We start from the raw sequence: 14,098 nt of genomic DNA, 5'->3' as shown, positions 1-14,098 counted from the left end.
TTCACTGTGTTCTTTTCATGAATTCCTTTTATGTAGGGCCTGAGTTAGTTATTAAATATTTTCTCCTGGAATCTTTTCTTTTTTCACATTTAAGTATTTTCACTAGCAATCTATAATACTTAATTTTGAGGGTGTTTTCTTACAATCTTTTCACTTCAATTTTATTAAACTCTTTTAAAATATCTGAACACTTCTGACTTATACTCTAAGTAGATAATTCTACTTGTAAATAAAATGTTTAAGTTAAGGAGAACACCCACAAAATATTGCATAAAAACATGTTCTTTAGAACACAGATACTTGCTTTAGAAATTCATTACTCTCTATAAGGTAAATAGTTAAATACTATTTATTTACTTAATTCAGGAGAAAGCACTCCTGTGGTATCGAAATTGGTTCTTCATCTCTCCTCACCAAAAACACTCATGCCTTTATTATTTTCTTTTTCTTTTTATTTTTTTGAGACGGAGTTTCACTCTTGTCTCCCATGCTGAAGTGCAATGGAGTGATCTCGGCTCACTGCAACCTCCGCCTCCCAGGTTCAAGCGATTTTCCTGCTTCAGCCTCCCGAGTAGCTGGGATTACAGTCCACCACCATGCCCAGCTAATTTCTGTATGTTTAGTAGAGACAGAGTTTCACCATGTTGGCCAGGCTGGTCTCGAACTCCTGACTTCAGGTCATCCGCCCACCTTGGCCTCCCAAAGTGCTGGGATTACAGGCATGAGCCACCGCACCCGGCAGCCTTTATTATTTTCAACTCTAGGTATTAGAAACATAGATTTCAGTTGAGTGCTATTTCAAAAATGTATTTTAAAGCATTTTAAAAGTTTTTCCCAAACATTTGATTTGCTATTTTAATCTAATTTTATACTTTTCAACTATGAAAGAGTAAATTATTCAGACAGACATTTTTTAATGTCTCCTTTCAGTCACTCTCTAATATGGCATGATCTAGCCATAATTTTCTTTGAGGAAGTTAATATTTAGGCACTAATTTTTATGTTCTATGAATGCGATATTGATTACATACTATAATGTTTAATCAGCTTTTCTAAGCAGAGATGCTCTTCATTTTTTCAAATTCTATAAGATCTTTTAGCTGTAATTAAAGAGTCAGCTATACTGGAAGCCATTGTACTTTGCTTTTTCCAGTATTATCGCATAATTATTGATTGCCAGACTACTTTTAATTCTCTCTTGTTGGTATACATCATTTTAAAATACGTATTGTATTTAAAAATCCCATAAATTACCATGTTGTATCCTTTAAATCTTTTTCCAAATTCTATTCTATACTTTTGTATCAATGTTTACCAAAAAAAATTGTACAGCAAATGTTTAGCCTATTAGCTATGTAATTAATGACTAAGCACATTAACATGGAGAAAAGCTTCACTTCTATTCTCCATTTTGTAAAGTTTTCCATGCCACAGTGGACTAATATCTATGAATCTAATTCTGCAGAAATGTTTTGGGCACTCATCCTAGAGAAACGAATCACTGAATAACCAGTGAAGATATTCTGAGATTTTTTTTTTTTTTTTTTTTTTGTTAATGAAAGAAATTTTTTTTTTTTTTTTTTGCTGGGAAGGCCTCAGGAAACTTATCATGGCAGAAGGAGAAGCAAACACGTCTTTCTTCACATGGAGGCAGGAAGAAGTGCCAAGCAAAAGGGGGAAAAGCCCCTTATAAAACCATCAGATCCCTGAGATAGTTTGCTCAGAATGATGGTTTCCAGCTTCAGCCTGTGTGGGGTGAGGGGAGGGGGGAGGGGTAGCATTAGGAGATATACCTAATGTAAATGACGAGTTAATGGGTGCAGCACACCAACATGGCACATGTATACATATGTAACAAACCTGCATGTTGTGCACATGTACCCTGGAACTTACAGTGTAATAAAAAAAAAATCAGATCTAGTGAGAGCTCACTCACTATCATTAGAATAGCATGAGGGTAAACACCCCCATGATTCAACTACCTCCCACTGGATCTTTCACGACATGCGGGGATTATGGAAACTACAATTCAAGATGAGATTTGGGTGGGGACACAGCCAAACCATATCAGTCCTATTGTACTCCTTTCTGCCCTTAGGTGGAGTACAGGTTGTCATTTTTTAATTATTATTATACTTTAAGTTCTGGGATACATGTGCAGAGCGTGCAGGTTTGTTACCTAGGTATACACGCGCCATGGTGGTTTGCTGCACCCATCAACCCGTCGTCTACATTAGATATTTCTCAGAACGCTATCCCTCCCCTAGCCCCCCACCTCCCAACAGGCTCCAATGTGTGATGTTCCCCTACCTGTGTCCATGTGTTGACTTACAGCCCCGGAGCATATGTGTATGTCAGCAAAATTACATGCTTTCTCAAAAGATAAATTAACCTGCATGGCTAACAATTCATTTAAGGAAACTCAAGCAAATCCTGTTTAGATATTTACTCTTTTTACATATCTTTGCTTTAGCTCATTGATTCATGAGACTGAACAAATTAAAATAGAAATAGGGACACATTAAGCCTCTCTTATTCAATTACTCCACATATATTTAACCTTAATTATATTGGTTTGCCTTTCTCCTGTGGCTGTTAAATATTATAGTATGCAAAACTATTCCTGGTACTATTGACAAATATGTCAAGCCTTGTGTTCATCAAATCTAAGTGTTCTGCATTTTGTCATGTGCAGTCAGTTGTAGGCACTGAGGTCAATTTCATAAAATTCTGTGAGAGTCAAAGGACAAGGGCAAGAATCTCAAACAGAGGAAACTCAGTTGTTGTGTCCTGCCTATTTGTAGCCAGTTTTCGTGATCAAAAGAAACAGACATTCATTCAAATTAGTCCAAGAGAAATGGAATTTATTATGAAGAGGATATATCCATCTAAATTCAATCAGGAAAAAGAAATCATAGTAATTTGAACAGGAACTTTTTAATGTAAAGAATTATTAAATATGGCAGGGAAGTAAATATAAGGATGTAAAGAGAACTCTGCTGGTTAGCCTAGGGCTCAGGGAAATGATGCAATGAAGGACAAGGTTGAAGTGGGGATTCCAAGGTGGGGTTCAGGTCTTGTTGGAGAAGGTGTAGTTGCAACCTCCAGAGAAGTTTCCTAGGACACTCAGATCAGAGCTGGTCCATGGTCGCTGGGCAAGCAGGAAATGAGGTGGCAGAGAGCCACAGTTCATAAGTGAATGTATAAAGAGGGAGTGAGGATGGGGCTTTTGCATGAGAATTAGAACATGTGGTCTTCAGGTAGAGAGGGTCATGGGAAGCAGCCTTTCTAGGCAGGCAGCTGAGGTGAGACTTTGGCAGGTGTACAGAATTAGAAGAATCCTTCATCCTCTCTCAATGTCTCTCCTGCATCCTCTACTGACAGTACTTAACATGTGTTCACTGTAACAGAGAAATGTTTGGAGATCAATCCATTATTGCAGTGCAGGTACTACAGGGTGAATTTAAAGCTGAGGGACAATAAAGTGACAATTATTGCACAGATGAGAATGGAATAACTGACACTAAAAAATCATAAGGAATGAAGTCTGTACTTAGAAACCAGTTTTTTTGTTTGTTTTGTTTCTCTCTCTGGACTGAAAATTTTTTCTCAATATAATTCTCAGTCTACCCTTCTGGCCCCATTGTTGGCTTCCTTCTATATTATTTTATTTTATTATTTTATTTTATTTTTTGAAATGGAGTTTCACTCTTGTCACCCAGGCTGGAGTGAAGTGGCGCCATCTTGGCTCACCGCAACCTTCAACTCCTGGGTTCAAGCGATTCTCCTGCTTCAGCCTCCCAAGTAGCTGGGATTACAGGCATGTACCACCACGCCCAGCTAATTTTGTATTTTTAGTAGAGACAGGGTTTCTCCATGTTGGTCAGGCTGGTCTCGAACTCCCAAACTTAGGTGATCCACCCACCTCAGCCTCCCAAAGTGCTGGGATTACAGATGTGAGCCACCGCACCTAGGCTCTATATAATTTTACCTTGTACATGACCATCATGACCTCTCTAACTCTTCTCTGTATGAGACATTTCAGTTCAACTTCCATTTCTAAATGACGCTTTCTATCAGTAGTTAATATCCTAAGTCATTTCTAAATGACGCTTTCTATCAGTAGTTAATATCCTAAGTTCTTGAAAGAGAGTCTTTTTAACAAACTTTATTGTTTTGTGCCAGCCTCATTAAGCATATACATGAACTGTTCTGGGGCCCATTCCTAGTCTAATTGGTTCTGTACCTGGAGCTGAGTCACATAATAAAAAACATGCTCCCAGGAAACCCTCTACAGCAGGAGTCATAGATGGATAGTTCCTTATTGCAAGAGGCCATGGCCTGAGAGAGTGATTGGAGTATATATATATATTTAATACATATTAAATATATATTATATTATATTATATTATATTATATTATATTATATTATATTATATTATATTTGGTTTCCCATTCCAAAAATCCTGAGACAGGATTCTGAACAACCAGACTTAAGTCCAAGACCCACCTTTGGATTGAGAAACTATGAGAAGAGGCACAGACACTCTGCCAAACTTCTCCTGCCTCCCCTATTACCATATGCATGAGAGTAGGAGGTAATTTTCAAAAGAAGGAATCACAGGTCATCGATTTCTTAGGTGCTCTGCATAATCATGTGGAGGGAAATCAAATGTCTAGAAAAATTACACATATGCTTCCCATTCTCATATCTTATCACTTGATTAAAAAAAATTTGGTTGTCTTAGGTAAAAATACTTCCCGAAAACCTCTGATAATTACCCTCCTCAGTGTATCACTTCTTTTCTGCCATCTCCTTCTACCCACAAAAGAATTAAGTAGTCCAAAAAAATCCTGTGAAATGAAATTAATTGGAGAAAGCCTACTCAAACTACCATACAACCTGAATATTTGACTGTTTTTAAAAGATATTTTTTTACATTCAACAAGCATAACCAAAAAACAGATATTTTACCTTACTGGGTAGAAAATAATTTAAAATTAGTTTGGCAAAATACCAATATGAGCTGAACAGTACCTGTCAAAGACTAAAATTATGTGGTTTATAGTGAAGATGTAATTTAGATTCATGGAAAATTCATCAAAAGTTGAAAGCTTCTGCTTTTCTTAAGAGAATATTTTCCTCTGTAACATAATGCATAATGTTCACTTGTTTGGCAAGTCCTTTTGTTTCCCTTGGAGAATAAAAAGAAAATTCTACCCAACCGTACATGTCCAACATATCACAAATTCTGAAACAGAACTTCATTAGCAACTGTAGAATAACCTTAACCATGGCTTCTCAGTATAGACTGTATAGTGATATAAGCTTGGGTGCCACATGAAAAAATAATAAACAACATGGCAAAAACTACCTCAGCTATGTCAATTTCACATATAAAGAAGAAGAAATGTCTCAGACAAGTATTGTGTTCTATATACATTAATTGACATAGCCATCTATTAAGCAAAATAACATTCATGGCCTGATGAAATTACTGAAGATTAAATATTTCAAGATTTATCATTATCTTGATGATGATTACCATAATGATAAATTTTAATCATTATCATATCATTTCATTAAAAAGGAAAAAGGCCTCAAACCTAAATCTCATGACTGTTTAATATAATGATAAAGTTAAAAGTCAACTCAGTGGAGTTCACAAGGTGCAATGTAGGCTGAGTGAGTGAATAAGTTGGGCAGGGAGGAGAGACAATCATCTTTAAAAGCTATTGATAATTTCTCAAAAATCGACTTAGAAAGTAGAAATAAGATACTTATTGCCTAAAGGATCCTTACTTCTAGACTAGTCTGGAGGCTCAAATCCTTCCAAATGGATACAACTTTGTCCATCTGGATTTCTTGATATGACAATGCTGCCAGGGAAAGTCTTCATTTATATTTGAAGTTGTGTTTATTATACTTAATTTTTAAGTACGTGCAAATAAATAGCTATTGAGTCATAGTTTAAAATAGTTTAAAATACAAAATAAATGATAAACTTTATAACTTTATATATAACTGATATATTATTATTTTGGAGCAGATTTAATTTTTTAAACTAAGGAGCCTAATTTGAAAGAGGTGTTATACTTAGTATATTATTTTGAATGGGCCTAACAATTTTTAAATTCTGCAAGGACATGATATTATTTATTTTCTTTTTGCAAGAAAGATTTGTTTCCTCTATTATACAAAATAAAAGTTTTAAAACTGAAAAAATACAGGTACATAAATATTTATACATATCTTTCTACCATAAGTTTAAGAAACCGTCCTACCCTCATAAGATTCCTGTTCCGTCCATATGGTTGGAGTAAGGTGGACATAAAGGTATTCAGTCTTTGTGGCTGGGGTGAAGTGGACACCATGCAATTTAGTTCACAGGGTTGAGATTCGGTGGAAGCAGTGCCATTCAGGCTATGCAGTTGCAGGGAAGTGGATACCTGCTCTCTGTGCTTCCTGGGGAGACTCGTGAGTCAGGCCTAGTCAGAGTATTCTGTTCAGCCAGTTACAGCAAATGACTGAAGGCTGCATATGGGACACAGCTAAGTCACTTGAAGTCTTACTTAGACCTTCTTAAAAGTGATTAGGAGCAAAGCTCAATCTTTATGCCATTGCCATCATAGTAGGATCTGAGTTTGAGCTGCTGATTGCCATCTTTTTTTCTGTGTAGGGAGGGCCTGAATAAGAAAGAAGTCAATATAAAGAAAGAACTAATAAGTAAAGTAAGAGAGTCATTTTGAACTCATTTCAGTCCATAGAACCAACGATACCTGAAATGTCTATTAGACTTTTATTTTATTCTAAATAGAAATAAATTACTGTCTGTTTCTTAAGCTATTTCCATTTGAACTTCGATCACATGCAACCAGAGTGTTATCAAGTACAACAACAATTATCAACTAAGATGATCAAAACTTAGACTTCCTTAAAGCCTATTCAGTGTGCTGTATTGAATTGTTTAACGCATGCCTAAAAGTAACTTAGGGGGAATGGAAATATTTTTCCACTGTGTGAACTTCACGATACATTCACACTCACAACAAATATTTATTGGATGCCTACTATGTTGCTGACTTTGTGTTATTATTGGAGACATAACAATTAGCATAATTTTTTTTTTTGAGATGGAGTCTCACTCTGTCGCCCAGGCTAGAGTGCAGTGGTGTGATCTCGGCTCACTGCAAACTCCGCCTCCTGGGTTCAACTGATTCACCTGCCTCAGCCTCCCAAGTAGCTGGGATTATAGGCGCCCACCACCGCGCCCAGCTAATTTTGCATTTTTAGTAGAGATGGGGTTTCACCATGTTGGCCGGGCTGGTCTCGAATTCCTGACCTCATGACCCACCCGCCTTGGCCTCCCAAAGTGCTGGGATTACAGGTGTGAGCCACTGCGCCCGGCCAGCATAATTTTCTAATCTTACTTTGCAAAGTCATCATAGCAACCTTGTGTGCTACCAGATGCTCTTCAGGAAGATTATTCCTCAACCACCAAAGGTTTTAGTCACTGAAGTCCCAGACCTCAGTCCCTCACCAGGAACTACTTTGGTCTAAGGAGGTTGCCTGTTTAAAGTTATAGCCCATACAATTTTTATAAGAAAATATAATTTTTGCAAACGAAGTATTAATAAAAAGGATTTTTAACAAGACCCCAAAATCACAAACACTAAAGTAATTTATTCTTTTGATTGCATTAAAACTAAGAATTTGTCTTTATCGAGTAAGACCATAAAAGAAAAACAGGAGCTACAAGTCAGATGAAAATATTTCAAACCATGTAAATAATAAAGGATTACTATTGACAACATTAACACCTGCATATTAAGGCTTTTTAAAAATCAAGCCATAAAGAAGCCAAACATAGAACGTCAGTCGTTTTACAGAAGTGAGAGAGTTAAATGACCATCATACGAAAAAGTGTTCAACCTCACTAGTGCTCAGAAAAAATACGTTTTAAAACCAAGACTTGATATTGTTTTACTAACTACATGGGCGACATTTAATAAGTCTGAAAATTCTTAATTTGATAAGGATGTGCTGTAATTAGAATTCTAATGAACTGCTAGTAAAAATGTTAATTGGTATAAGTACTTTGGGAAACAATTTGGCATTACGTTGCAAAGTTGAACATGGCAGTAATCTGTGACCTAGCAATTCCAATCCTTGGTTCACCCTGTAGAAACTTTTGTACAAATTATAGGAGACATATTGTTCATAAAATTTTTTCATAGTGGAAAAAGCTAGAAACAAACAAAATAACCTGTTTACAAACAGAACAGGTAAGTAGACAATGATAGTCACTCTTTGAAAGATTATACAGCCATAGAAATTAACTATAGCTACACAAAACAATTTAGATGAACTTTAGAAGCATTATGTTGAATGAAAAAAAGAAAATCACAGTATATGATATTTTTCTAAAGCTTAAAACAAGCAAAACTAAACAACATATTGTTTAAGAACACATACATGTGTGGTAAAACTTTTTTTAAAAAAAGAAGAAAAGAGAGCAAGGGAATAATAAATGTAAAAGTCAGGATAGAGCTGTGAAAAGAAAAATCTTAGACAAAACAAATTTAACAGACTTTAATTGAGCAATGAACAATTTGCGAATGGGTCAGCCCCTCAACCAGAATAGGTTCAGAGAGACTCCCATGTAGCCACATTATGGACAGAAAAAGGAAAGTGACGTACAAAAAGCAGAAGTGAGGTACGGAAGCAGTCAGATTGGTTACAGCTCCACGTTTGCTTTATTTGAACCCAGTTTGAACAGTTGGCTGTCTTTGATAGGTCAAAACTTGGTGATTGGCATAAGAATTAGCCACAGTCTGTTTCTTCATCCAGTTAGGTTAGTTTACTATGTTCAGAGAAACATTTTGGCTATACTTAAAATATGTGAGGCAGCTCTAGGTGAAATTTACATTAACAGTGCTAGCTAATGTTTGATACAATGGTACAACGTTTGGATAGTGGAGGGAAAAACAGGTAGATTTATCAGCATTGATAAATTCTAGTGTTTGAGTTGGGATTTGGGATTCAGAGTATTTGTTTTATTATTATACTTCATATCTTACATGTAAGTTATATGTTTACTATTTTGTGAGTGTTAAAATTATATATTCTTTTAAAAGAGAATTGTCCACATAACTTGAATACTAATTCAAACAAACTAACAAAAAAATTATAAAAATATCAGGGGAATTTGAAGTCTGGCCAAACATTAAATGACATTAAGGAATAATGTCAATTTTTAAGATGTGTATGATATTATGTGGTTTTTTTTTTTTAGAGTTCTCTTTTAGAGGCACATATAAAATATTTACAGATTAAATGATATAATGACTGGAATTCACTTCAAGGTAATATGGAGATTGACATGAAGTAGGTGGGGCAATGGTGAAACAACACTCGGCATGTGTTGATCATTGTTGAAGTGGATATTAGAAACACAAAGATTGGCCGGGTGGAGTGGCTCACGCCTGTAATCCCAGCACTTTGGGAGGCCGAGGCGGGTGGATCACGAGGTCAGGAGATCGAGACCATCCTGGCTAACATGGTGAAACCCCGTCTCTACTAAAAAATACAAAAAATTAGCTGGGCGTGGTGGCACGCGCCTATAATCCCAGCTACTCGGGAGGCTGAGGCAGGAGAATGGCGTGAACCCAGGAGGCGGAGCTTGCAGTGAGCCAAGATTGCACCACTGCACTCCAGCTTGGGTGACAGAGCGAGACTCCGTCTCAAAAAAAAAAAAAAAAGCCACACGCAAAGACTTATTTATTGTTCTCTCTACTTTGGATTTTGTTTGAAATGTTGTTAATGATGAGAGCATCAAAGAAAACCAAATTCTTTCCAAATAAAATTTTTATTAAATGACTCTTAATTTTTGACCATTATACTATATTTAAAAATGTCACAGAGCACAGTGGCTTGCACCTGTAGCTCAAGCTACTCAGTTGGCTGAGGGAAGATTGTTTGAGGCCAGGAGTTCAAGACCAGGCTGAGCTAGATAGCCAAACCCTGTCTCTAAAAAATAACTTTAAAAAAAAATTAGCTTGAACCCAAGAGTTCGGGGCTGCAGTGAATTATGATAATGCCACTGTACGCTGGCCTGGGAGACACAGTGAGAGCCCATCTCTTTAAAAAAATTAACTCACCTCTAAGAAAAGGCAGTATCAGTTTCCTCTTCTCTTCCCTTTTTATCAATAATATTATCCTATTCTTAATCAGTTCAACTTAAAACTGTGAAAATCATCTATTTTATGTCAATACTTAAGGTCATCAAAGCCTACTACACGTCTTCCATCAAAATGCCTTTTGCTTATCTCACCTTATTTTCTCAATGGCCTGCCCCACTCATAACCAACACAGTAACCTCTAGTGACTCTCATCACTTACTTAAAAAGTCCAGACTTCCTTGGCTGCCTCTCCTGGCCACCTGCAACTGATCATCTTTGCCTTTCGGTTTCTTTTACACTCTCTTTTTCACACTACTCTATCCACAAAGATCCCACATGCATTAGCCCTTCTACTTTCATGTTCACACTCATCTGGCTACCTTCAATAAGAAGCTAAACAATTGTTCCTTTCTAATCCAACATATATTCACCCGTCAAGGCCCCTTTTCTTTCTTTTTTTTTTTTTTCGGTGGGGGGAAGTTGATTATTTTTATTTCTCTCTTCCCACAACAAGTAAAAAAAAAAAAAAAGAAATTACAATCAATGCAAGTACAAGGATTCAATTTTTTAAAATCATTGGTACAAAGATGGCCACGGCTCCTGCCCTGGTTTAACCCACATATTTAAAGAATGTGTCGGGGCAGGCATGGCCACAGAGATAGTACTACAAAATATACAAAGTGTTTTTTTTCCCCTCACATTTCATAGCACCCTGCCTCAGTTCCAAATGAGAGCACTAGAAACACAAATCACTGAGACCATTTACTGTATAACTTATGAAAAATGCTGTACAGGTGTGTGACGATAAACATAGAGTAAAAATGGCTCTGTTCGGGAATTGGTATCTACAAGGGGGAAGGTCAGGGGAGGGCTGTCTGATATTTTGACCTGCTGGGATGATGGGGAAGCTGGGATAAGGGAAGACCTGGTCTTGCAGCGTGGCTGCACCCCACTCTCCCTTTCCTAGATAAGGCTGAAGCTCACTGACCAGGGAGAACTGGGATGGCTGAGCATGATGGGGGCAGTGGTGTAATAAGACAAGGGGCTGTGAAAGGCATGGAGAAGGCATCTAGGGTGAAAAGGAGCACACCCCTTTAATCCACGATCCATGATCCATGAGCACTTGATTGTACTCAATGATCCCAGTTCACTGGGCAGTCCAGTCAGGTCCAGGCTGCCTCTCCCTGAGAAAAGTTTGGAGCTTTATAGGCATGGAGAGGGGGCAGAAAATCAAAGCCCATCTACAAGAAAATGGAAAAGTGCTTGGAAAAAGATTCCAGTGGGTGGGTGGATGGAAAGAAGGAAGTTAACCCAGGAAATCATCTTGAACAGAAAGTGAGGAGGAGGCAGAGAGGTGGAGAACTATTCCATGCACAGATGCTCTCTGGAAATCAAGGTGACGACATACAGGCTACGCAGCCTAGAGAACTTGCACGTTTTATTTCAAAAGATCCAGCAGAGAGGGTTTTCTATGTGACCAAGAGAGTAGCAGTAGACTTTAGCCATAATGCTCTTTAATTTGATTTCAAAATTAGCTAAATTAAGAACCTGGGGCCCTTTCGGCAGATAAACCATCTCCCCTGAATACTACGCTACCCATTCCCTACACTCCTCCTCCATCTGCAAAGGCCTCTTTTCTTCAGCAAAACCTTCCCTAACCCATCTAGCCTTCAGTGACCTCCCTTTGAAACAGCCGAGTATGAAGAGGTCCCCGGAGAGCCTGTGACCGGCCTGCACACTGGGAGGAGTGGACACTGGGATGGAGCCTGGGGAAGTTCATGTGTTTGCAGGGGTGGGTAGCGGATCCCTCATCTTCCTGGGTCGAATCTGGGATTCAGTCTGCCAGGCGAGAAGCCTATACTAGCAGGACTCTCACTCTGCTGAGTCCCTGTTTCCCCTTTTTTTCCCTTTTCACCCAGTAAGTTTTATTTTTCTCACCCTTTAAAGTGTCTGCGAGCCTAATATTTCATGGCCGTGTGACAAGAACCCATCTCTTAGCTGAACTAAGGAGAAAGGCCTACAACACCTTCTTGCTGAAATACTTTCTTCTTTTGGCATTTATAATACCATGTCCACCTGAATTTCCTTCAGATTCACTGATCTCTCCTGTTTGGTATTCTTTTCTGACTTGTCTTTTACTCGACTTCAAAAGGTTTATATTCCCTGGACTCCCCTCTGCCCCATTTCTCTTTATCATTTGTTTGTTTGTTTTTGAGATGGAGTCTCACTCTGTCGCCCAGGCTGGAGTGCAGTGGCGCAATCTCGGGTCACTACAGCCTCTGTCTCCTGGGTTCCAGCTATTCTCCTGCCTAAACTACTGGGTAGCTGGGATTACATGCACGTGCCACCATTCCCAGCTAAATTTTTTTTTGTATTTTAGTAAAGACAGGGTTTCACCATGTTGGCCAGGCTGGTCTCGAACTCCTGACCTCAGGTGATCTGCCCTCCTGACCTCGGCCTCCCAAGGTGCTGGGATTACAGGAGTGAGCCACCACACCCTGAGCCACCACGCCTGGCACCCATTTCCGTTTCTCTTATCTGTAAAGAAACCTCAGTTAGTCCCATGTTTATTATATAAACACCAGTGACTCCAAAATCCTTATCTCCAGCTCACATCTCTCCCTCTAGAAGTCCAGAAAGCAGAACTATTGATTATTCTCTCAATATCAGTCAGTTTGTTGAGGAGAATATTAACCATGCTAAGCATTTTATAGAAGAAATGACTTAACTCAGAGAACTAGAGAATTATTCAGTATTCCTCCCTTATCCATGGTTTCACATTCCTAAGTTCAGTTACCTGATGTTTAACCACAGTCCAAAAATATTACATGCAGTAAGATATTTTGAGAGAGACCACATTCACATAATTTTATTAGAGTATATTGTTATCATTGTTTTATTTTATCTATTTTGTTATCATTGTTAGTCTCTTATTGTGCCTAATTTGTAAATTAAAATTTATCTTAGGTATGTATATATAGAAAAAAAAAACATAATATGTACAGGATTTGGTACTATCCACAGTTTCAGGCATCCACTGGAAGCTGTGGAGCATATCCCCTGTGTATAACGGGGGGACTGTTGTACAACCATTGGCAAGACTGGGGAAGCCACAGCAAGAGACAGGAAATCAGGATATTCAGAAAACACAGAAACCACTGTTAATAGTCTCAGCTACTTGCAGCACTCAGGGAAGTGATTATCAGGAGGACATCTTAAAGCCACTGGGGAAAATTCCATACCTGCCATCTCCAATGCCCATATAGCTGCCTGCAGCTCCCACTGAAGATCAATGGCTTCTTCTTCTTGTTCACCTTCCAAGTCTCACACACGAGTTTCTCACTGGCAAAACCTAAACCAGTAACTGCTAGTAAGTGAGTCTAAGAAAGGTAGATTCCAGGCTTTCTGTCACTGCAATACAGAGGACAATTTAAGAGTAAAATTTCTGAGAATCAATAAGCAATATCTAGACACAACCAAACTTCATACTTTTCAGTCTTTCTAACTCAATAAATAATATTACAATACATTCAGTTCTTCAAACCAATTATTTTGAGTTCAGGGATACATGTGCAAGATGTGCTGGTTTGTTACTTAGGTAAACATACGCCTTGGTGATTTGCTGCACAGATCATCCCATCATCCAGGTATTCAGCCCAGCATCCACCAACTATTCTTCCTGATCCTCTCTCTCTTCACACGCCCCACCCTCAAACAAGCCCCAGTGTGTGTTTTTCCCTACTATGTGTCCATGTCCTTTTTTTAACATATAACTCACATACAGCACATCAGGCAAGTCCTATCAACTCAACTTCTAAAACAATCCTAGGTCCTTTCCTTTTGCTATCTCCACTAACACCTCCTAGTCTAGGCCACTCTCTTTTCTCACTTGGATGGTTACAGCTTGAAGATTCTC

At 38.1% G+C, this 14,098-nt stretch overlaps 1 long non-coding RNA gene and 1 pseudogene across 1 annotated transcript, besides 1 other annotated feature; both read right to left on the bottom strand.

The window, feature by feature from the left end:
* Positions 1 to 3,071: 3,071 nt before the first annotated feature.
* On the bottom strand, positions 3,072 to 13,630 carry LOC105375162 (uncharacterized). Its single transcript, XR_927051.3, has 3 exons — positions 13,425 to 13,630; positions 6,286 to 6,687; positions 3,072 to 3,401 (listed from the first exon to the last, which is right to left on the bottom strand). It is a non-coding gene; the product is annotated as an uncharacterized LOC105375162 (long non-coding RNA).
* On the bottom strand, positions 10,718 to 11,748 carry LOC100423044 (solute carrier family 34 member 2 pseudogene; annotated as a pseudogene).
* Positions 12,646 to 12,846: a silencer, noted in NCBI's record as "peak6401 fragment used in MPRA reporter construct". NCBI's record gives its function as "represses an SCP1 promoter by STARR-seq MPRAs in K562 erythroleukemia cells {active_cell/tissue: K562}" and the evidence as "EXISTENCE:reporter gene assay evidence [ECO:0000049][PMID:32103011]".
* Positions 13,631 to 14,098: the final 468 nt, after the last annotated feature.

This window comes from Homo sapiens, chromosome 7, assembly GCF_000001405.40.
Source record: "Homo sapiens chromosome 7, GRCh38.p14 Primary Assembly".
Taxonomy (NCBI): Eukaryota; Metazoa; Chordata; class Mammalia; order Primates; family Hominidae; genus Homo; species Homo sapiens.
This window is presented reverse-complemented; position numbering and strand designations above follow the sequence as displayed.